This window comes from Homo sapiens, chromosome 8 (genome assembly GCF_000001405.40).
Source record: "Homo sapiens chromosome 8, GRCh38.p14 Primary Assembly".
Taxonomy (NCBI): Eukaryota; Metazoa; Chordata; class Mammalia; order Primates; family Hominidae; genus Homo; species Homo sapiens.
In genome coordinates, this window is record NC_000008.11 from 139,818,387 (window position 1) to 139,842,370 (window position 23,984).

The 23,984-nt window shown below is 53.0% G+C and overlaps 1 protein-coding gene across 11 annotated transcripts in view, besides 5 other annotated features; it reads right to left on the reverse strand.

The window, feature by feature from the left end:
- The window catches only part of TRAPPC9 (trafficking protein particle complex subunit 9), a 730,855-nt gene that overhangs the window by 90,662 nt on the left and 616,209 nt on the right, over positions 1–23,984 (reverse strand). The gene's annotated exons all lie outside the window — the stretch shown is intronic.
- Positions 12,018–12,655: an enhancer, noted in NCBI's record as "H3K4me1 hESC enhancer chr8:140842647-140843284 (GRCh37/hg19 assembly coordinates)". NCBI's record gives its function as "activates a minimal SCP1, AML or CMV promoter by ChIP-STARR-seq in naive H9 embryonic stem cells {active_cell/tissue: H9 hESC(naive)}" and the evidence as "EXISTENCE:reporter gene assay evidence [ECO:0000049][PMID:30033119]".
- Positions 14,100–14,394: an enhancer, noted in NCBI's record as "tiled region #11049; K562 Activating non-DNase unmatched - State 22:ReprW". NCBI's record gives its function as "activates a minimal TATA promoter and a strong SV40 promoter by Sharpr-MPRA in K562 cells {active_cell/tissue: K562}" and the evidence as "EXISTENCE:reporter gene assay evidence [ECO:0000049][PMID:27701403]".
- Positions 19,677–20,201: an enhancer, noted in NCBI's record as "H3K27ac-H3K4me1 hESC enhancer chr8:140850306-140850830 (GRCh37/hg19 assembly coordinates)". NCBI's record gives its function as "activates a minimal SCP1, AML or CMV promoter by ChIP-STARR-seq in naive H9 embryonic stem cells {active_cell/tissue: H9 hESC(naive)}" and the evidence as "EXISTENCE:reporter gene assay evidence [ECO:0000049][PMID:30033119]".
- Positions 20,202–20,725: an enhancer, noted in NCBI's record as "H3K4me1 hESC enhancer chr8:140850831-140851354 (GRCh37/hg19 assembly coordinates)". NCBI's record gives its function as "activates a minimal SCP1, AML or CMV promoter by ChIP-STARR-seq in naive H9 embryonic stem cells {active_cell/tissue: H9 hESC(naive)}" and the evidence as "EXISTENCE:reporter gene assay evidence [ECO:0000049][PMID:30033119]".
- Positions 22,823–23,347: an enhancer, noted in NCBI's record as "H3K27ac-H3K4me1 hESC enhancer chr8:140853452-140853976 (GRCh37/hg19 assembly coordinates)". NCBI's record gives its function as "activates a minimal SCP1, AML or CMV promoter by ChIP-STARR-seq in naive H9 embryonic stem cells {active_cell/tissue: H9 hESC(naive)}" and the evidence as "EXISTENCE:reporter gene assay evidence [ECO:0000049][PMID:30033119]".

Below are 23,984 nucleotides of genomic sequence, written 5' to 3' on the forward strand. Positions count from 1 at the left end.
CCAACATGGTGAAACTCCATCTCTACTAAAAATACAAAAATTAGCCAGGCATGGTGGTGTGTGCCTACAATCACAGCTACTCAGGAGGCTGGGGCAGGAGAATTGCTTGAACCCAGGAGGCAGAGGTTGCAGTGAGCTGAGATCACGCCACTGCCCTCTAGTCTGGGCAATAGAGCAAGGCTCTGTCTCAAAAAAAAAAAGAAAGAAAAAAATAGTAACACAGTCAGTGGTGTGCTGGTATATGTTTAACAACTGGCTATTGTGGGGGTAACCTGACTTTTAATATTTGCCAATTTCTAGGGTGTAAATACTTCCTGCCTGGCTGATTTCTAGTTACCAATGTGATGTTAACTGGCTTATGAAATTCCTGACAATGTGAGCTGTCCAAGTGGAGTGAACAGTCTTGCTCCTCCGTCGCCTGGCAAAGCCCTTCCCCATTCTATGAGAACCAGGTCAAATGGCAATACCTAGGGAAAACTTTCCTTGTCCTCTTCAGACACAATTTGTCACACTCTTTTCTGTGACCTCTTAGTCCCTTGTACACATCTTAACCACAAGATTGATTCTCTAGTACAGGGGTCCCCAACCCCCTGGCCACAGACTGGTACCGGTCTATGTCCCGTTAGGAACCAGGCTGGAGAGCAGGAGGTGAGCGGCGGGTGAAGCTTCATCTGTATTTGCAGCCACCCCACATCGTTTGTATTCCTGCCTGAGCTCTACCTCCTGTCAGATCAGCAGTGGCATTAAATTCTCACAGAAGCACAAACCCTATTATGAACTGCACATGTGATGGATCTAGGCTGCGTGCTCCTTATGAGAATCTAATGCCTTATGATCTGTCACTGTCTCCCATCATCCCCAGATGGGACCATCTAGTCTAGCTGCAGGAAAACAGGCTCAAGGCTCCCACTGATACTACATTATGGTGAGTTATATAATTATTTCATTATATATTACAGTGTAATAATAGTAGAAATAAAGTGCACGATAAATGTAACAGGCTTGAATCATCCTGAAAGCATCCCCCACCACTGTCCATGGAAAAATGGCCTTCCAAGAAACCAGTCCCTGATGCCAAAAAGGTTGGGGACCACCTGCTCTAGCATTTATCATCATTCCTTGGAAGCCCCTGGGACAGGGACAATCTCATCAGTGCACAGAGGCGGCATATGGAAGACAGTAGTATTTCAGAGACAACTATAGATAAATTCCACTGATGAGCACAGGGCAAAAATTCTAAATGAAGCATTAGCAAATCAAACCCAGCAGTGCATCGAAAGAATCATCCACCAGCACCAAGTATGATTAATCCAAGGAGAGCTCACACCAAGAAATCTACCATCCAGGCCGGGCGCAGTGGCTCACATCTGTAATCCCAATACTTTGGGAAGCCGAGATGGGTGGATCATGAGGTCAGGAGATCAAGACCATCCTGGCTAACACAGTGAAACCCCATCTCTACTAAAAATACAAAAAATTAGCCGGGCATGGTGGCGTGCGCCTATAGTCCCAGCTACTTGGGAGGCTGAGGCAGGAGAATCACCCCGGGAGGCAGAGGTTGCAGTGAGCCAAGATTGTGCCACTGCACTCCAGCCTGGGCGACAGAGTAAGACTCTGTCTCAAAAAAAAAAAAAAAAAAAAAAAAGAGAAAACTACCGTCCAAAACCATTACAACACTGAAAAGGGAAAAGAAGTTACAAGTATGCTGATAAATGCCAAAAGACATTTTTTTAATTTCAGATTTCAGAAAAGAAAACTCTTAAAATGGAGAGAGAAAAAAAATTATCTTATTTATTTATTTTTTATTTTTGTGAGATGGAGTCTTACTTTGCCACCCAGGCTGGAGTGCGGTGGCACCATCTCGGCTTACTGCAGCCTCTGCCTCTTGGGTTCAAGCAATTCTCCTGCCTCAGCCTCCAGAGTAGCTGCGACTACAGGCATGCACCACCATGCCTGGCTATTTTTTGTATTTTTAGTAGAGACGGGGTTCCACCATGTTGGTCAGGCTGGACTCGAACTCCTGACCTCAAGTATCCACCTGCCTTGGCCTCCCAAAGTGCTGGGATTACAGGCATGAGCCACCACACCTGGCCAAATTTATAAGAACTATTTCATTAAAAAACAAATATTCCACATATACACATTTTTATGTATTTCCAAATAGAATGCTAACTTTAAACTGGATAATATGTTCTTAAAGTTCAAATGGACAAATAACTACAAAAGCCATAAAGAAATGTGAGAAAGAACTTGCTTTATCGGGTATTAAAACATATCTTAAAGCCATTACGACAAAAGGGCATGGCATTAGCACAGCAGTCTTTACAGTAGAACAGATAATTCAGAAATAGATCCGCATTTACAAAAGAACTAAATATATTACAAAGGTGGCATGCTAATTCAAGGAAAAATTGATGGTTTTTAAAATCAACTGGTCCTGGCATAACAAAGTAAAACAAAACAAGGATCTATCTTATTGTATATGCACAAATGAATTCCAGATGTTTTAAATTTTAAAAATAATAAGAGAGTATGTGTGTATATATATGTTTTATATATATAGACATTCCTAAGAAGATATACTGGATTGCAGAAAAATGAACAAATTTTATGTGGCAAAAGCCATGAAAACAAAGTCAAAAGAAATATAACAGACCAGGAAATGTATCTGCAGCACCAGGAAATGTATCTGCAGTAGGCAGTCTTTTCCTACTCCAGGTCACAATCTCCTACAAATGGATAAGAAAAAGCCACACAATTCTATAGAAGAGGCAGAGAACGTGAACAGGGCATCTAAGGAGAGAAATCCACATGATCAAAGAAACACATGAGCAAAGCCCAGCCTCTGGAGCAGCCAGCGAAAAGCAAGTGAAAGCAGCAACAATGTGTTTCATTCGGTGGATGGCAAATGGCAAAATATGAAGTCCCTGAATGTGCACAGTGCTGAGAAGGGCGAGGCCCAGGGGCTGCTCTCCCAGGCTGGGGCCACGTGGATGCTGCAGCCTGGTACTTGGAGAGTATGCTGTGGCACAGGTCAAAATGTCAGCATGCGGGTCTCAGAGGAATCTAAGAATAGCAGGACCCCGCTTCTGTAAAACAAACCCATTTCCTGTATGTTAATACATCTCCATATGCATCAATGTGAGCCTGGAGAAATGTGGAAAAGGTCCTACCCCAGGGTCCAGACCGGGCTTCTCCGAAGGATGGGAATGGAGGTGGCAGAGAAGATTAACACTTTCTATACTGCTTTGCATTATTTCAATAGTTAAAATAAGCAGAGATTACTCTTACAGCTTAAAAAATGTAATCAATGTTTTTAAAGTGCTTTCTCGACTACAAACCAGCACCCATGGTGAGGCTCCATGACGGTCCAGCCACCACTGCGCACGGGACCCGTGAGCTTGTTAAGGCTTCTGAGTAGAGACCAACAGATTCGTGTGCCATAATAGCCTGGTAAATAGGAATCAAAAAGGTAGCAGCTGGAGTTCTCCCCATGGAGCTCGACGGAGAGAAAATGAATCGTAGTGCCATGCTCGGCTATTGGCTGGGCCTAAATTGTTCCTTACTCTGAGAATTCGTTAAGTGGCTGAGCAATAAAGAAGAGAGATTTGAGAGTTCTTTCTCGGCACAATGGCTTTGACCCCTGCCCTTTCAGTCGTGATGGCTTTATTAGGGACCGTGGGGTGCTGCAAACAGCCTTGAGGCTCTGGGCAGACCAGTTCATCCAGCTCAATTAAAAACCCATTACCTGGCGCTGAGCTGGGCCAGCTGTGGGCCAGGCCGTGGGGGAGGAGAGGTGACTTCCTCAGTCCCTTCCTCAATCCTGTATTAGCATCTACTCCAGGCCAAACACCAGCACCCAGGAAGCAGACCTGGAAGACGGCATGACCCACTCCAAAGTGGCTCCCAGGTTACTGGGGTCAGTGACATATGAGGAGATGATCTCCACAGCCTTCTAAGGCATGGCCTCCCATTTGTAAAATGAAAGGGTTGCCCAGGTGCTCATGTGCTCCGAGAGAACAATGCCAGGTACCAGCTACATAGGGCAAGGAGACCCCGCCCCAGGCTCCTGGGGAGCTCAGGTGAGGACACCGACACTGGCAATCCGGGCCTGTGTATTGACACCCTATTGTGCGGTTGAAAAGAGCACACCCAGGGGCCAGACCTCAAGCAGGTGCTAGAGATGGCCTCCCTCAAGGAGAGGAGTCTGACCTGAGAGCCAAGAGCCGTAGGATGGCGGGGGGGGGCTGCCTTGCCTCCATGGGAAGGACAGCAGAGGGGCTGCCATCTGCCAGAGGCCTGCTGAGTGCATGCGTCCTCTCAGACACGCTGCCTGCCGCTGACACATGGAGTCTTCAGACACCAGGACCATGGCTGGGTAGGGTGGCAGTAGTGTAAACATGAGCAAAGCCTTGTTCCTGCCTGCCACAGTCAGTTCAGGCAACTGTCACAATGTGTCACCACTGTGGCTTAAACAACAGACATTGATTTCTCACAGTTCTGGAGGCTACAAGTCCAAGACCAAGGTGCCAGGAGGGTGGATGTCTGCTGAGGGCCCTCCCCTGGCTGGCAGTCCGCTAACCTGCTGCTGTGAGCTCAAGATGGCCTTTCCTCAGGTGTGTGCAGCTCTCTGGCGCCTCTTCCTACAGGGACAGTAATTTGATTGACTCAGGCCCCATCCTCATCCCCCATTTAAGCTTAGTTGCCTTCTCAGAGGTCTCATTTCCACATACAACCACACTGGGGGTTACGGCTGCAACACATAATTTTGGGGGGACACATTCAGTTCGGACCAGTACCCTTCCCAGTGCCCAGTCACCCCAGAGGCGCGAGGTGGGAGGAGCTTTGATTGTCACAGGAAGGCAGTGCTTGAGCTGGACCAGGTGCCCAGCGGTCTGATGTGGAGAAAGAGTGTGATTTTAAGTGGGGGAAGCAGGTGGGGACCGAGAGTTGACATCCAGGCTAAGGGGCTCAAGCAAGCAGAGGCTTGGTGCCCGAATGCAGAGTGGGTTCACAGGAAAGAGAAGAGACCAAGGTGCCCAGGGTGTGGGTGGTTGAGGAGCCTGAAAACATGCCACAAAGAGCTTGAAATGCCACGCCAAGGACTTCAGATGTCTCCTGCAACCATCAGAGACTCTGGCAGGGTCACAGTGACCCACCCAGACCAGCAGATGCCCCTGTTTATCCCTGGACTTGGGCCTGTGCTCCAGGAGCTGCCATGCCCAGGAAGAGGGATGCACGGGGGTCTCTCCCAGGTGGAAACAGAGACCTATAAAAAGCCTTGTCTGCTGACGGACAGTGTTCCTGGGAAGCCCTGCAGCAGAGGTGCCAGTCTTTCCAGGTATGGGGCTGACGCTGAGCTCTGAACATCCCTGGGGCCTGCAGAGGCAACTGCGCTGCCACAAAGAGAGGCCTGATGGGCATCCTCAGGATAATAAAACGTGAACAGCTGGGGTCTCGCGGCCACATGATGGTGTTCAAGCCCACACCTGCTCCCTCCAGGCCCTCTCACCCACCCTTGGCACAGAAGGTCTTGGAGAGAGAGTTGAAAGGTGCTGGACTGACTGCTGAGAATTTGTTAGACATGCCCGTGAGGATCCGGATAAAAATACCCAGGTCTTCTATTACAGGAGCAGGCAGCAGTTTACATGGGGCTCTCACGTGTATCAGTTCACCCCATTTTCACTCAGAGCCAAAAACTTATGGGAGGGAGGTGATGTCTTCCCCATTTTACAAGGGAGAAAGCAGACTCAAAGAATTTGACCATTAAAGAAAGTGGTCAGGTCTTGGCCACAAGGTTTTCTGGGTCTTGGAACTAGCCCTGAGCGGTGTGTGTACAGATCACGTAATTTCGGCAGCCCAGTTTCCTCATCTGCAAAACGGATGAGGTGAGGAAGTCGCCGGGTCACTGTGACGATGCCAAGCGTGCTTCCTGTGCAGAGCTTCGGGGGCCTGCAGGGACATCCAGCACCACAGCACTGTCATTAACATCAGTCACCACGTGGCTAAGGCCTTGGAGCTGCCAGGGCCACAGGAGAGGCAGTGGAGCACGTCGGGCGGTGGAGGAAACCCACGTCTGAGCAGGGCGACTTTCCAAAGGATGCTCCATGGGAACACCCGTTTTAAGGGATTTAATGGACTTTACCTTTATATTTATATTTATGTTATTTTATTATTTTATTTTATCTTTTGGCGACAGATTCTCGCTCTTTCACCCAGGCTGGAGTGCAGTGGTGTGATCTTGGCTCACTGCAACCTCCACCTCCCAGGTTCAAGCGACTCTTGAGCATCGGCCTCTGGAGTAGCTGGGACTATAGGCAAGTACCACTACGCCCAGCTAATTTTTTGTATTTTTTAATAGAGATGTGGTTTTGCCATGTTGGCAAGGCTGGTCTCAAACTCCTGAGCTCAGGCAATTCACCCACCTCGGCCTCCCAAAGTGCTAGGATTATAGGTGTGAGCCACTGTGCCTAGCTGACTTTACCTTTGTAAAAGGTTCCATGCTGTAAGGAGGCTGGGCCCGGTTGGGTGTGATGGGATTCACAGATTTCTTTACTCAAGGCCTCCAGGGTTTTCTGTGTGCTCTCGTGAGTCCCCTGCAGGGAGGTGGACGTGACCAGGGAAGCCCTTCTTCCCCCTCACAGAGCGCCAAAAGGACCTCTCATTCCACAGAGAACACTCAGGGGTGGGGTTGCTGGAGTGGGGGTCACAGATGACCCGGGCCCTGGACGTGGGACGTGGGCTGCGGGACTACAGGATTACAGAGGGGTCTGAGAAGGTCTTACTGAGGCATGGGGTGGCCTCAAGGCAGAGCTAGAGCCCAACAGGGCAGCCCACGCAGGGTGGGCAGAGAAACGGCTCCTGTCTTTCAGGGAACTAGCCACTCCTCTGGGACCTGCAGCCACACTGGGTCCCACTCTTTCCCGCCGAATGGAGGAGAGGAGAAGCACAGGTCCTGGTGCAGGCGGCACTGGCATCCTGTGAGGATGAAGGCCTGTCCATCCCATGGCTGTGCAGGATAAGGAATGACGGGCTGTGGGCCCAGGAAGTGCTTCCCGGGCGCCGGATGGATGGGCACCAGGGCCAGGTGGGGGCTGCATGGGTCCCATGCCCAACCTCAGACCTCAGGATCTGAATCTCCACTCAGAGAATCTCTGCCCTTAATCCCTTTGGGATCAATTAATGTTCCCAAGAAAAATGGAAATTTAATTTCCATAGTAAGTTCTGAGAAAAAAGTCACTTCCACCCGGGGGAAATTTCATGGCTCTGGTTTGTTTGCTTTGGGCCAGGGCTTCTGCAGGACACAGCCAGTGATCAGACGCCCCGTGGAGGATACCGCCGAGCAGCCAGCTTGCCCGGAAGGAAAAAGGGAGGCAATTCCGAAGAGCAGACGAGCCTCCGAGACAACAGCCGTGAGACGATGGCCGGAGCTGAGTGTCAACGCCCAAGGATTTCCAGGGCTTCCTCACCCATGGGTTCCTGAATCAGAATATTTCCTGTGCAAAGCGCCATGCCAGGCTCTGGTGGGGAGAGGTGAGCATCGGATATAACCCGCCCGTGGAACAGGCCATGATGAGGATGTGCAACAGCAGGGGAGCTCCAGGGCCCCTGTCCTCTCCCAGGTGGGGGTGAGAGCCCATTCTGCCTGGTGGGCAAGGAAGAGGAGCGTGGAGAGGTCTTCCTGGCCAGGTCTGAAGTAGGGGAGGGCACAGAGAGCCCAGGGTGACCCAACCTGGAGCCTCGTTGGTTCTCCCAGTCTTTCTAGGCCCAGAGGGGCAGGCTGTGAGAGGGGAGTGGAGGGAGAGGCTAAAAGCCAGACTCTGGGGGCCTGGAATCAATAAACAGGGAGTCCACTGGGCTGTGGTCCTTGGAGAGGTGTGACTGATCGGAGGGGCGCTTCCAGAGGACTACACTGCAGGTGAAAAGAGGAGGGACGGAACAGGAGAGTGAGAGACAGTGTGGGCCAGACAAGACAAGGCAGGGCTTCTCAGCAGATGGGGGCTGCAGGAGCCGGCCGGGTGAGCCTGGGCAAGCCATGCTCAGCCCTGGCCAGCTGGGGCTGTGGCCTCCTTCCCCCGCAGGGTCGGTGCCTGGGGGGAACAGAGACCCCTGTGAGTGGCACCAAATAAACGCACAACTGAATGAAGAGGGTGGGAACCACGGCAGAGGCGGTGGAGTGGGGCAGCAGGAGGGGATAGCGGAGACCTTGCCAGGCCACATGGGCAGGGCTCGGCGATGGACAGGAAAGGGCAGAGGAGTGTGAGGCTGTCAGCCTGGCCCGGGGCTCTGGCTCGTGTGAAAGGCTGGAGTTGACGCCGTTCCTGTGGACTGGGGACGCCGGGGGAAAAGCAAGGTTGGAAGGGAAGGAAAATAACTCCATTCTGGAGATACACTGAACTGTGAACAGAAAGGTACAGCAGGAGAGCCTGGGTTTCTGCAGAGAGGTTGGTACAGGTCCCTGTGGGAGCCATCAGTACAGAGAGCAAGGCACAGAAGCCGGAGACACACCATGGGGAGGGAGAACCAGTTAGAAGCCCGGAGAGAATGGAACATACATGTCTTTAGGGAATATACGTGTGATCAAAGAAGGGACAGACTGCTTGCCGGTCCATCTTCCGGAACCTGGAGTCACTCTGCAGTAGCTCCCAATGCAGGAGCTAACACAGAACATAGCCATCAGGTGGAAACCCTTGCAGGACACCTCTCACACCTGTTTGCCCATTTCTAAAATGGGGAAGGGAAGGCACTTGCCCCACAGCTGTTGCAGAATGGTGAGCTAGAGCCCGGGAAGCGCCTACAGCAGGTCTCGGCCTGGAGCAGGGCCTCGCGGCTCAGGGTAGTGGCTCCCTGTGCCTGAGGAGGACAGGCACCTTGGTTTCTTCACCATCTCAGTATCCGCAGGGCCGAGGCATGTGTCTGGCACATGCTAGACGTCATTGCTAGTGGCCCTGCATGCAGGACAGAGGAAGGCTGAGCCATGGCTGATCCCCGTAATCCCTTTGGAAGGGATTCTGAAGCTTCTTGCAGCTTCTGAAGACACCACGGCAAGCTGGGAACCCCCTGATGGGGACTCCGGGAGCAGGGTAGCAGCATTTAGACGGGGCTAAGGGAGATGGCCACAGAGACCGCGTTGGCTTCCCCGGGAGCTGGGATGCAAGCACAAAGAGGAGGTCAGGCAGTCTCACCTTTCAACCCAGGCCTGCCATGTGCTGGGGTGGTGCCAATAAGGACTGCGTGCCCGCACGTGACTGATAAGTGAATGGAGGCTCTGAGAAGCCAGGTGTCCTGGCAAAGCCAGCCAGGACAGCAGCAAGAGGGAGGAGCTCGGTGCCAGGCTGTTCTTGCATTGCTATCAAGGAACACCTAGGGCAGGGTGGTTTACAAAGGAAAGAGGCTTCATCGGCTCACAGTGCTGCAGGCTGTACAGGGAGCATGGTACTGGCATCTGCTCAGCTTCTGGGGAGACGTCAAGGAGCTTTTACTCATGGCAGAAGGCAAAGTGGGAGCAGGCGTGTCACACAGTGAGAGCAAAAGTGGGAACAAGGCAGGGAGAGGTGCCACGCTCTTTCCAACAACCAAATCTTACGTGAACTCACTCATCACTGAGGGAAAGGTGCTAAGCCACACGTGAGGAATCCACCCCCACGATCCAAACACCTCCCACCAGGCCCCACCACCAACAGTGGGAATTCCATTTTAGCATGAGACTTGGAGGGGACACACACACACACATCCCAACTACAGCAAGCTTCCCCGATGGGTCTGGCTGCAGGGCTGTGTTCCCCTCACTCCACACCTCTCCCCAGCATGTTGCCCAGTGTGCCCACATGACGCCTGTCTGCTGAGGGTCACACTGTACCTGGTACACAGAGGTCCTCAGTTTGTATTGGCTTGTCCTGAACTGGCGTGAGGACAGAATACCCTCTACTCTGCAAGGGTGGCTGCTTTCCTCCTAGCATTCTCTTTTATGATCTATTTGGCATCTCTGGTCCCCAGGAGCTAATCTAGGAAACCACACTACATGTTTCCTCAAAATAAGCCAGACAATGCGGCCAAAGGCACACCAAAGGTTGTCAATTGAAGATAACCGCTCACATTTTCTACCAAGTGGTTCAAAGACCAAGCTCCATTGAGAAAAGTCATTACCAAATCGGGAAATGCTCCTTTGAAGGAACATCCTGAGATTTCCCGGCATGGGGCTGGGCGATGCAATTAATATTTGTTGCTTGAGTTCCCCAGGGTGTCTGACACTGGGCTGTAACATTCATTAAGGGCCAGGCCTACAAGGTCATCGACACATCATTTTGTTTCCCTGAAGCTGATCACCAGCGAGCAACTTGAAGGAACGCTGCCCAGGTCTGTCTGGCTCCAGAGACGGCACCCTAGGACTATGCCAGCAGGCCCTCTGTCCCCCAGAGCCCAACGTCTGAATCTCAGCATGAAACCAATGAATAAGAGATGAGCAATATTTATACAAATACATGCAATCCGAGGGAGGGCTCACCCAATGAAATGACAGATTCATTTGAATAAAATCAGCTAAAGATACCCAACTATTCTATATTTGTAAGATCAAAACTTAGAAAAGAAATTCTTCTTTCCTTCCATATATGTTCTCTGCTTAAAAATTCCTACATTTGGAGACGCAGAATGGAGGAAGAAAAAAAATGCCCGCAGATCAACATGGCAAGCTTCTCTTTCCTTGTTCCTGTACAAATCTTCGTCTATATTTAGAGAGTTTCTTTTCTGACTGTAACATACATATGTGTACTAGACTAATGTGTGAGAATGTGTAAATGTACGGAGACGCCCTTCCGGAGGGTATAAAGTCTTTGCTCTCTCTTCGCTCTACGAACCAATCCCATCACTGCTTTGGTGCGTGCACCACTTTTTAAAGCCATCGTCTCCTTTACTTCTCACAATCACTGTGCAGACAAACAGGAGGAAGCAGACGATAGGGATGTCAAATATTCGCCCAAGCTCACAGCCTCCAAAGCAGTAGTCTCTGTCTTAGCTGCAGCCTTGTGACCCGTTCCCGTTCCACCACCTGACATGGGTCTCCCACACGTGCTATAATGGGAGAGCTCTGCCTCAATGCTCATCTGCACGCAAACACACGAGTGCAATCTACTAACACACAGTCCCAGGAGGAGCAACGTCTGGATACCCCCATCTGGAGATGCTCACAACCCTGGTTCTCACCAAGAGCCTTGGGATGGGCGCTGTGGGAGAGAATCAACACGAACTCCTGCACTCTGGGAGGGAGGGCCCTTCCAGCTCACACAGTTTGCGGGGCTATGATCCCAAATATTGTAACACAAGAGCGAAAAGAATGGATCCTGAGAGACAGGTAAGGGACGAAAAATGCAGAAAGAATGGACATCTGCTCCTTACTGTCTCTAGCGATGCTACACACATGAGCTAGGCTTTCCCACTTTCTAAACCAGGAGACTGTGGCTCACAGAGGTCAATGGCTGGCCAAGGTCACACGCCTAGTGAGTGACAGCGCTGGGGCTGGAATCCAGCCACATGTGTGTCCACAGACCACGCACTTCCCAGGTCCTGGTACCATAGAACTCTCCTCTCTACATGCATGGGTAGGGGTGGCAAGGAGAAGAGTGACATGGAAGGAGAGAGAGAAGATGAATGACTGTGAACACAAATACTCCATTAGCATAAGCTGAAGTTAGCTGGAAACAGAAATGCACCTACAGAGCTATCTAGAAACAGGACGATGGTCTGTGGCCTGCTAGCACGCAAGCAAGGGAAGGAGCCTGACGTGCACGTGCACACACATGTATACAAACACATACACACACATGCATACACACACAAATGAGCATACACATGCACACACACACTACACATGCACACACATGCATACACACACAAATGAGCATACACATGCACACACACTACACATGCACACACATGCATACACACAAGTGAATATACACACGCAATTACACATGCATACACGCTACACATACACACACATGCATACACATGCAAATGAGCATACACCTGCAAATGAGCATATGCACGCAAATACACATGCACACAAACGCTACACACATACACATAAACACATGCGTACACAGATACAAATAAGGATGCACACATACACACATGAATACATATACACACATGCACACACAAACGAGCAAGCACATGCAAATACACATGCACACACATACACATGCACACACCACACGCATACACCACACGCATACACACACATGCATACACAGATACAATACAGACATACACATACGAATACACATGCACACACATACACATGCATATACACATGCACACATGCAAATACACACACACACAGACACACACCTCTAGAAGGGGCTGTGTTAGCCAATGCCAAACACCAGCCTCGGCTGCTGCACCAGGGAGCCCGGAAGCCTCTCTGGATCCCAGGCCCACACTGTGAAGAGCAAGGCTGCTGGTGACCACGAACAGAGGGTCCCGCCCAGGACACCTGCTCTCCAGGGAGGCTGAACTGTCAGGGTTATTGAACAGTGATGAAGTGCACGGCAGCAAGCTCCATCGCTGGCCGCGCTGACTGACATTTACCCTGCACACAGCCTGTGCCGAATGCTCACGTGCACTTGGCAATCACAGCGACCTTGGGAAGCGGGAGCACTTGCCCCATTTCAGAAATGAGCCATCTGCTAAGAGACAGGAAGGAGCTCCCTGTGGGCACTCAGTGGGCAAACAGGAGAGAGGGCTGGGAATTGAACCCAGGGCACGCAGGCTCCACAAGTTCACACTCTAAGCTTCTTGTTGTAGGTTCCAAGGACACATCTGGGGCAGAAGACAGCCGCCCACACATTAGTTGGACTTGTGTGGTCTGCTGTGTCGTGTGTGTCTGACAGACTCTGAGGAGGATCTGCTTGTGCCGAGACCTGGGTTTCCGGGGTGGAGAAGGTGGGCAAGAGACTCTCCCAGCCATCAGTGAGGTTTCTTGATATTTGATCCTAACAGGGGCTACAGGAAGAGACCCACAATTTATACACACACTCTTCCCACGCACTCACATGCATGCAAGCACGCACACTAACACACACACGCTCAGTCACACACAGGCATGCATAAACACACACAAATCACCTCAATTTAACTGAGAAATTAATTACATTTGCTCCCTATAAGGAACTGGCATAGACCTGGACTCCTACCCAAGCTCCCCACCCCGCTGGGTGCCCCACAGCCTGTGGGAACACCCCCACCGCCGCAGCCTGTGCCAGCCTCTCCATCCAGTCATCCACCCCACCCCTCACTGAGCCCCACTGGATGGGGGGTCAGGTATCATGTGAGAGGAGGCTCCTTTGCTTTGCAAAGCAACTTGCCGCAGTGAAAGTGTTACTCTCCTCAATTTAGAGAGGGGAATGGAGGCCCAGGGGGATGGACGTGCTCGGAGTGTCTCGGCCTGCAGTAGGGAGAGCGGAAGGCTGCCCAGGCCTCTGCCTCCGTGCTCTTTCCACAGTGCTTCCGCCCACTCCGTCACGTTGCCTTGAGTAGCCCCATTGTCCTGGCTACGTTTCAGAGTGCCTATTACTCAATTATCCCTTCTCCTCTCCGTGAAGTGTCCATTAACCTTGTGTCTCCAGGTTCCTGCTTCCCCTCCCAAGGTGCTCATAGCGAGCACCTACCTTTCATGTTGTCACAGGCGTCCCCTGCCAGTAACCAGCTCTGAGAGGGTGAGGGCAGGGGCCACCTCTGAGGGCCTCGTTCGAGCTCACAAGCTTCCCTTGGGAAGGCTCTCCCGGCCCTGCCAGACTCATCAGATCAAGTCTGATACCCTGTGAGTGCACTTTCTAATCAATGAGCAAAACGGCCTCTTTCTTCCTTGGCCTTCCAGTAAAAATAGCTACATTTGCATGATAACATCTGAGGACCACCCAGCTCAGAGACTGCTTTTAATACTCGAAATCTGACAAGGCACGTACACCATGCAGACAGAATGCGCGGGGTGTTCGCGTGGAGCAGCTAGTGAGACCTGCCGCTCCTGCCAGAAGCCCAGCCGCTGGTTGGTCTGGGACGAGCAGGTATGGCCCGAAGCAGGGGAGGCTGGTGGGGGTGGGAGACCAGTGGGCACGGAGTTGGGAGAGGGCCCAGCAGGAGGACCATGCCATTTCCCCAGCCTCCCCAGGACTCAGCTTTGCCACCTTGAACTCAGCGAGCTCTTTGCCAAGGGCAGGTGTCATATTCTGGGGAAAGGTAAATAAAGGTCCGCCAGAGTGAGCACAGAGGCCTTCCCTCTGCTTGTGGGGCTCTAAGCCTGGCTGACTTCTCTTCCGCCTCATGAGCCTGCCCAGAAGAGCCTCCTGCAGGAAGCAGCCTTGACCTCCAAGGTGGATGACGTGTCCCTTCCTGTGGGGAGCTCCAAGATGACCCCCGGAGACCCTCGCCCTTGGATAGCGTCCTCCCCATGAGGGTGTGGGAACTTGGGAATGTTATGGCTTCCATGATTACGGCATTCTCTGCTAAAAGGGAGATTCCTTGAGTGGGCCTAATCTAACAGGCTGAGCTCTTTAAAGGCAGAGAAATTTTTCCAGCTGATCTCAGAAGGGGAAGTCAGAGATGAGAAGCATGAGAAGGGTTCAACACCCCACTGCAGGTTTGAGATGGAGGGGCCACGTGTCCAGGAATGGGGGTGGCCTCTGGGAGCTGACAGCAGTCTCCAGCGGACATCAGCAGGAAGCTGGGGCCTCGGTCCTACAGCCACAAGGACCTGAATTCTGCCAACAATAAGAACAAGCTTAGAAGTAGATTTTTCTCCATTCCCTGATGAGAACCCAGTCTGACAAAACACCCTGATTTTAGCCTTGTGATCCTGGAGCAGAGAACCTTCATAAAACCTATAGCCCCCTTCCCCCAGCCGACTTCCCCTTCCTTAGCTTTAAGATTCTGCTAAAAGGGGCAGCAATTCTGCTTCAGTTTCTCCAGAGAATGTCCCTCCTACCTGCTGGGCCAGCAGTGTTCCCAGGCAGGCTGCTGCCTGTGTCCTGCCTTTCCCACACAGGCCCACCCTCTCTGGCTGATGACCCAGCTTCTTCTGCTCTGGCAATGGAAGGAGCTGGTCACGAAGAATCCGGCCACGGCACCTGGCTGACTTCAGAGGTTGGCAGGGCAAATGCCCCGCAGATTAAAGAAGTCATTTCCTTACTCGAAGCGGAGGCTTGCCCTAAACGCAGGCCTTGACGGGTGGTTCACAGGCAGGGCACTGTGCTGCCCCTTCCCAGACGTGGCCTTCCCAGCAGAACAGGCAGGAAAGAGGCATTTCCAGAAGCAGCTGCGGCCACCAAAGAAGGGCCGCTGCTAATGTGCAGTGTGGACTTTCTCATGAGGAGAGCTGAGAGGTGTGCCCGTCATTGGACTGACTGATTTCAGCTTCCTTCCGCTTCAGGAGCAGGAGGGGCCGGGAATGAACTTGAGTGTGGGGGAGGGGAGGCAGGGCCACCCTGGTGTTATTCCTGGGTATGGCTACTGAAAGTCAGGAGGGATCAGAAACATGAGAGCCCCTGGTGAGGAGGTGCCTTGGCGGTGGAGGAAACGCAGGCTTTCCTGTGGCATGACCTGTGTGCAAATCGCTACCCAACCCCTACCAGCCACGTGGCTTTGGTAACCATGTGACACTGGGCAAGTCATGGAGCCCTGTGTGGGCCTCTGGAACGAAGCAGGGTGAGAAACTCCGGTGCATAGAGTTGTTGTAAGCCTGAGGTGAGGTTCTGTGTACCCAGCGCCCACCAGAGCCTGTCACAGTGGGAGCTGAGTCACAAGGGACTCTGCTTGCTGGTGGTGTGGTTAGTGCCACCTGCTAGGCTTGGCCAGGCAAGAACGTCAGTCAAGGTTAGGTATTCTTGCATGATGGTGCCTACACCAGCTGGCAGCAGAAACCTGACGCAACTCCATAGCTGCAAATGGAGATCCAGGGAAGGCTCCACGGACCATAGAGGGCTGTGTCGGGAGCAGTGAGTCTGACATTCCTAATGACCTAGGACAATGACGTGTGTGTTCACCACGTGACATGCACAACTGAGAGACAGAGCTGGCTTTCTGAGGAAGGGGGGCGGGCACAGCTGCAAGGCACGGGGGACCCCTCCACCGCCAGCAGGCAGGCGGAACGTGGCGTCTGGCGAATGGCAGGGAAGCCGCCCTCCATGACGCTGAGTCCTCAGGACCAGTGCACTAGTGGGGACGTTGTCGCCCCATCTCACAGCTGAGGGAGTTGAAGCCAGAGAGTGTGGCTTATCCATGGTCTACCAGGAGTACAGGCAGAGTAGCCTGAACTTGGAGTCCTGCCTGGCAGGCTGCAAAGCTCTTGGTATTTCCATCCCTCCTTGCCATGTCCAAGTTCACGAGAGGGATCTCACACCCGAGAGATACAGGCACTGTCATCATCAGGCGCATTTCAGGATGTAAACCGCAGCTCAGAAAACAAGTCATTTGCCCCAGTAGCGGGGCTGTTGCTGGGAGCCAGCTCTCCCAGGTTCTGAGTCCAATGTTTTCCCCACCACCCCGTGGCAGTCATTAAATAGGCGATTTCTATCCCACCTGTTGAGGATTTATTTCATGCCGGTGCTGACTCGCCTGGACAGGGAAGCCCAGATGCCAAAGGTGAAGATTTCAAAGGTGAAAGTGCCCCCCATGGAGTGGGCATCAGACTCGTTGGCAGGTTTCTGTTGACTGGGTTTTCGCTGTTAATGAATGCGACCTTGGGTGAATCACCTCTCCTCTTGGAGCCTTGGACTAGAGCACTGGTTTTTAAATAGGGGAGTTGGAGGCAATAGGGGTGAAAGCACCCTCAAATCCTCCCCCATCTGACCAGCTCCTCTGACCTCCTCACCCACTTCGAGCAGAACAGAGATGCTTTTTATGTGTTTTACATACTGCGTTGTGCACACATTGCCTTTGATTAATAAATTTCTGAAGTCACTGAGCCAAGGAACCTGGCAGGTCCTCCGGGGCTCCGCTGCTCTGCGACTCTGCAGCAAGCATCCTCGCCGCCGTCCAGCCTTCCCTCCTGCGCCCCATTGTGTCACTGTGATGGCGCGCACGTTCGCCCGTGCTGTGCGTGGATGCACGGATGGATGTCTAATATCTATTCATCTAGGTATCTATTTTTGTATCCACGAGACATCCTCACTAATAAACCTGGGGACAGTGGGGAAAGCAGCAAGAAAGGCCAATCAGTGCTGCTGCTGTAAAGCGATCAAGTCCCAAAGGACAGCAGACAAGAGACACTGCTGCCAAATCTGCTTTCTTTAATTAAGGCGGAGATTGATAAGAGCTGTCAGAGTGAAATGAAGAGACTCCAGGCCTCACTGCTTTGCCAAGACATGAGAGGGAAAGCTGAAGATTAAAAAACAAAAAAAAAAAAAGCTTCCCTAGAAAGCCCACAGAATCCGTTACAAAAAGGATGAGGCTCCGAGGACGGCAGAGAGTGCAAGAATCACCACCCCAATCAGCAGTGGAGGATGTGGCCTGAGCTTGCCAGCTGTTTGGACAGGTTATATATATCTATATCTACCTACCCATCTATCTATCATAAATGCTATTTTCCACCAAGGAAAGCTGGGTGTAGCACAAAGGGAAGCATTTATTTATTTATTTATTTTTTTTGAGACAGAGTCTCACTCCGTCGCCCAGGCTGGAGCGCAGTGGTACCATTTCAGCGCAGCGCAGCCTCCACTTCCCAGGTTCAGGTGATTCTCCCTCCTCAGCCTCCTGAGTAGCTGGAATTACAGGCACCCACCGCCACACCTGGCTAATTTTTATATTTTTAGTAGAGACGGGGTTTCATCACGTTGGCCAAGCTGGTCTCGAATTCCTGACCTCAGGTGATCCACCCACCTTGGCCTCCCAAAGTGCTGGGTTACAGGCGTGAGCCACCACACCCCAGTAAAGGGAAGCAGTTCTGAAAGAAGAACCAGCTCTCCATCTCAGACCCCGGAGCGGGACCGATCCTGGTTCTGACCCTGCGCCCGGCACTCGATGTGTGTGTTTCCTGCAATTCTCCCCAGGGGCAAGTGCATGGGAAGCCGCTGGGGGGACCTGGAGGAGAAAGAGCTTCCATGAGCAAGCTCAAGGTTCGGGAGGGAGGTAGGGCCCAGCCCAGGCCTGCATGAAGCCCAACTGCTCCCCTGCAGCAATGCAGATGCTGCCGCCACACGGGGCAACTGAGGGAGACTGAAAACTCACACGATTCATCCCAAGTCCAAAAAGAACTGAAGAGAGATGGGCGTGGCTTCCCGAGAGTCATTTGGGACATTCTGTGGAATTCCCAGGAGCAGACACCAAGGCTCCACAAAATCTCAGCATGCATGCAATTAGTCATGGGAAGAAACAGTGCTCTTTCAGGAGGATGCTTCTAATTGGAGATACTTCATTCTGTAAGCTAAAAAATAGGATCTTTATAAACCCTCGATGTTTGCCATCATTGCCAGAAACAATGAGATACGATGGTACCCCATCACCTCCAGGGAGGTCAGAAAGGCTTGATGTGAACGGCTCCTTCTGTCTCTGTGGGTTTGTCGTTGTTGTTGTTAAAAAAGGAAATGACAAGGAGGACTTGGGGCCTAGCGATCTGGGTTCAAGTCCTGCTTGCTTGTGAGACCTGGAACAAGGAACAGGACCTGTACAGGTGACAGTTAGGTTTTAATAGTCTATGCACCGGTGGTGTTAGTTCAGGGAACAAACCAGGAAGTGAACAGAGAAACCCTCGGTAAACTTCAAAGCTCAAGATAATACATCTGCAAAGCCTAGAAAGGCTGGACTACGGTTCTTACCATCACCGTGACACACATGCAAGAGCCCTCCTGCTGCCGCTGTTCACGCCAGCTGGGGGACGTGCTTCACTCTGTGACACCCTGTCGAGGCAGCACGGTAACCAGAGGCACCACCCCCAGTGCACAGCTGCCACGGGGCAGGGTCTTCCGGCTCCCACCTGACAGCCCACCACAGCCCCCAACGGCACTTCAAAAAGGCCCCTGTCCTCCCATAGCCATCTGTCCAAGGCAAAGCTAGCAACTGGATGGGACCAAAGAGGAACTCTGAGGGGTACTTCTTGCCATGGCAGGAACTCAACAACACGCTCCCCCACCAGCCCCCTGAAGGCTCACGTGCCCAGGGAGGGCCTTGCCTGCACTGCCTCGGTCTGCTCTCACTGGGTGGCCTCGCAGAGACCCATGGAGTGGGACTGGCCCCCTGAAGGCAGGCCTGTCTCCAGCCCAAGGCGTTTCTGAGCTGCTGAGTCCTAGCTCTGTCCACGCACATCTTTGGCACACCCACGTGGCTGTCCCCTGCCATTTCCCCACACCCCTGGTCTCTCGTCCTTCCAGGCACCCAACCCAGATGCCAGGAGCCCCTCGGCCCTCCTCTGTGCTCCCCGCTTCTCACTTGCCACCGAGATTCTCCTTCCAGAGTCCATCCAGTCGGCCCATGTCTGTCTGTCCACAGGGCTGGCATGGCAGTTCAGGCCAGCAGGAGCTCCTGGCCCGGTGGCTACACTGTCTTCTCACAGCTCGCCCATCTCTAACCATGTTGTCCCCTCTTCTGGCCCAGGCTGCAGGCTCCTTCCACACTGCACATCTGATCACACCACCCAAAGCCTTCGACGCCCCTGCTTCCAGGACAGAGTCTAAAGGGCTCGCTGCACCCACAGGCCTCCACACCAGGACTCTTCTCTCTCTTTGTGGAATTCTCCCAGTTCCCCACAGCCACAGCCCCAAACCCCTGGATGCACCGCTCTCCATCCGTGACTTGCCTCTTCTTGTGACTGGATAGCTCTTCCTCATCCTGCAGGTCTCAGCTGAAACATCTCCTCCTCCAGGAGGCTTCCCCTGCCCCCTGTGCTGGGCACACGCACCTGCCTTTACCTGTTCTCCCACTTGGCACACATCGCTGAAGTGTGACATCCTTATGGCTTTTCTTCCCTGCTGGACTGCAAGCTCTGGGGGCACAGGAGTCACATCTGTCATGCTTACCATCAGAACCCGAAACACGAACAAGCAAACATGAATAACTTAGGCCATGACCTCTGGGGCATGTGGGGTGGCACCAGGACTGAGCGGGGAGTGAGCCTGGGCCATGGAAGGGCCCTTTCTGGTGTGGGCCATTTTCATGGGCTGCTCGGAGCCCCCCAAGGAAGAGAATGTGGGAGCCTCTGAACCACCCTGGCGGGTCTCCTTGGCCGCAGAGTTAGTCCACTTTCCTTCAGGGCCAGGCCTCTCCAGGAAGAGGCTGCTGCTGTGATGACGGGTGGGTGGCAAGGTTACCGAGGAGGCCTGCCAGCCTCTGGGAGGAGGAGGAGCAGCCTCATGGAACACTCTTGACCGCATCAAAGGTATTTTTCTGGCTGCCTCTGACAGACAGGCTCTCTAAATGAGGCCTGATGTCCAGGGCTTGCCTAGGAACTTATACATCGGTTTTCTTCCTCCTGCTGCTCTCCCGTCCAGCCCTGCTGTGGAGAGGCCCAGGGCCTCACCTGGATGTTACCAGGAGTGTAGCTGAGGATCCAGGTCAGCTGATGTGCAGCAAGAGGGACACACCAGGGGGCAAAATCCACATGGCCACGCTGGGAGGGGTGGAATTCTCCCTTTTCACAAGGGAAGGCCCTATTTAGAAGATGCATCTCCTGAATAACGCCAGACGGTATCCTAGGGTGGCTCAGCCCCTGCCTCTCCCTCAGGGTGCATCTTTGGCCAGATAACCCTCCCAGGTCTGACTGCTGGGCCTAGCACTGTGCTTGTCCGGGACGTGGCACAGGCCTGGGCCCAGGCACTCGCTACTTCACACATTCAGCAAATGCTGAGCACCTGCCACGCTAGACACTATGCTCAGCACCAGGGACATTCTCAGGGGATGTGAGCATCATGGACATGCCATCATGGAGACCACTCTGGAATGAGACACCGGGGGCTGGGCAGTGAATGCAGCAGAACGGGATCCAGGTGGAGGGGTCCTATGCAGCCCCAGGGCAGGGATGGCTTTCGACAAGCCAAGTCCATGCTGTGGGAGGGGACAGACAGGCCACCAGGTAGTGAGGGGCTGACAGGCCGTCTCTGCGGGGATGCGGACAGTGGGGAAGAAATGGCGGGCTCAAGAAAGGTTCTCAGGGGAGTAGACAGTAGGGTCAATGATTTTGGCCTCTGTGAAGGGACTCAGCAGAGAGGAGACTGATCCCTCCTCATTAGTCATGTTCGGAACCCACAGTAACTGCTCCCCGAAAGCGGATGCTCATGGCGCATTCCTTCTTCCCACTGCTTGTTTCCTAGGGGCGCCTACTCATCCTTCAGGTCACAGCTGAAATGCCGCTGCCTCCAGCTCTGCTGGGTGCTGCCTCCAAGTTCAAAGAATGTTCCAGGGTGAGCAAACGGACCATCCAAAGGGAGAGTGGGCATGGCCTATTCCGGAGACAGAAAGTGCCAGCCGGTGCCAGGCACTGGGACAGCGACACAAACAAATGGCCTCTCCCTTCCGGATGCCTGCTTTCACGGCAGTTTTCTACGTTGTAGCCAACAGACTTCACTTTCTGAGACTGTGTTCCAAAGAAACCCTGGCTATTAACAATGACTTTATTTCTGTAGTGAGAGCCACAGAGGGTAGTTATTTTCCACCAAAAGCACAGTAAATGAAATGTTCGGCCAGTCTGGGCACCACCAGAGAGTCTGTACTAAATTCCCCTGGACTGTGCAGTCCATCCCACGGCCTGGCAGAGCAGGCCCAGGAGATGTGAACCACACAAAGCAGACCTTATTACTGCCACGCCTCTCCTCAGAGAGGGCTCTGCTGTGACACTGTGGCTGCGGCGGCCCTGGCCTCCCCTGCAGGGAGGTGGCTTGCAATGGCCACTCCTCTCAGATGCTGAGGAACAGCTGAGGAGCGGGGAAACTTCTGCCGCTTTCATGTCCCCTCACTCATTCATTTTTCACTGGTTCCAGTAGAATTGATTCTAATCTCCTATGGATCAGGAGTGATCCTGGATTCGGGGAATGTGAGTTGATTCCATTGAGACTCAAATGCTTAAATCTTCATGGCAAAGGCACCATGTGAACGGGGCCTGGAAGGAGGCAAAGGAACTAACTTAGCAGCGGTGGACGTTGATGAGGAAACTGCACGACTCAAATTGGAGGTCGGCGAGGGTAGCGTGTTCCTGGAGAACAGACCAGAAACGCAGCCTGACCCTAAACCCTAGTGGGCCTTCAACACACCAACGGGGATTCTGCACTGGACAGTCGGGCCAGGAGGGTGGCGGTTTCCACGCGTGGGAGGTTTCTCAGCAATGCAGTGGCACAGTCCACACTCTCACAGTCTTTACTGGCCTTGCCCATTCTCGGATGTGTCAATCAACAGGCACATCCAGCCTGCCCCGCCCACAGCCCAGGGTCGCTCACCAAGGCCTGGCTGCCTCTGGTAGGCTTGTCCTTCCCTTGTGCCCATGAACAGAGTTTTCTGCTACTTTCTATGGCTGCCTCACTCTGACATTCCTGTAGCCAGCCCTTCTAGGGTGCTTGGAAGGGTAGGATCTGATGCCTCGGGTCTGGGAGGTACAAAGGGATATGTTAGTTTCCTATTGCTGTGGTTTGAAGCAAGACAAATTCACTGTCTTGAAATTCTAGAGCTAGAAGTATGAAAGCGGCCTCGCCTGGTTAAAATCAGGATGCTGGCAGGACCGCATTCCTCCTGGAAGCTCCAGGGAAACATCTACCCCTCGCTTGCCTTTTCCTGCTGAGGGATTTCCCACATCCCCTCGCCCCCGGCTCCTTCTTGTGGTCCTTCTCACATCGCATCACTCCGCCCTCCTCTTCTGCCTCCCTCTTCTCCTCTGAAAGGACCTTCGTGATTACCCTGGGCTTGAAGGTCAGCTGCTTAGTAACTACCTGCACCTGCAACCCTAATTGCCTTTTGCCATGTAAGGTACCATATTTGCAGGTTCTGGGGTTGGGTTGTGGACATCTTGGGGGCTCTTGCTTGCTCTGCCTAGCACATGGGGGCACAGGAGCCTGCTGGTGGGGGCCGGCGGGCCTCACTGCTGCGCTGTTTCTTCCCTGTCTCCCCCAGCGTGCCTGCTTGTCTGGCAGAAGCAGCTGACCCCTGAAGTCAGGCAGCACGGAAATGACTGTGCTCATGGTCAACACACCTGCCGAGTGCAGGCTCTGGCCAATCCATCCCAGGGCAAGGCTGGCCAGGTAGGGAGGGTGGTGCTGCTGACAGCCTCCTCTGTCCCTGGTGTGGTCACAGGCACCTCATGGATGCAGGAGCTCCTGGTGCAGGCAGAATTCGCAGAACCCACAGTGCTCACAGTAGGGAGCCGATGGGAGGCACCCCCATGCTGGGCCCTGCCCACTCACGAGGAGCTCACTGGCTGGTGGGGGACCCAGCCCCCTAAAGCACCCCAAGGCCAAGTGACAGAGTTCCAGGACGAAGCCACCACCCACTGGGGAGCAGCCCCAGCTGCCTGCACAACACAGGGAACTTCTGAAAGACAAGCCACAGGACAATGTCCAGGTTTACTAGACAGGGCAGGAGGGAAGCTGGGGACCTGGGGTGGAGAGGACTGAGCAAGTGAAGACCGGGGACATGGGAGAGCCCAGACCGCTTTGGAAAACACAGCAGTGTGAGTCCAGCTGAAAGGGGCTTTGAAATGAGGAAAGAGAACTCAGCAGAGGCCGGTCCATGAGGCCCTTGCATTAGAAACTAGGAACTCTGCACTGGACTTTTGGCCACTGGTCAGAGCTGTGCTTTTAAAACACTGTCCTGGCATCAACCTGGCCAATTTGCAGCCTCTCTTTTGACAGCTGCAGGGAGAGTTAATTTCACTGCCTCTTGAAATGTTGCTGCTGCTGGCCTTGGGGATTTTTCTCCTCCTCCACCTGCTTTTTAAACAGTCTAGGCCCAGAGCTTCCCACCTGTGGAAACTTGCTCTAGAATTTCCACTGCTGTCCAGCTCTTTGTCCTGAGGAGAA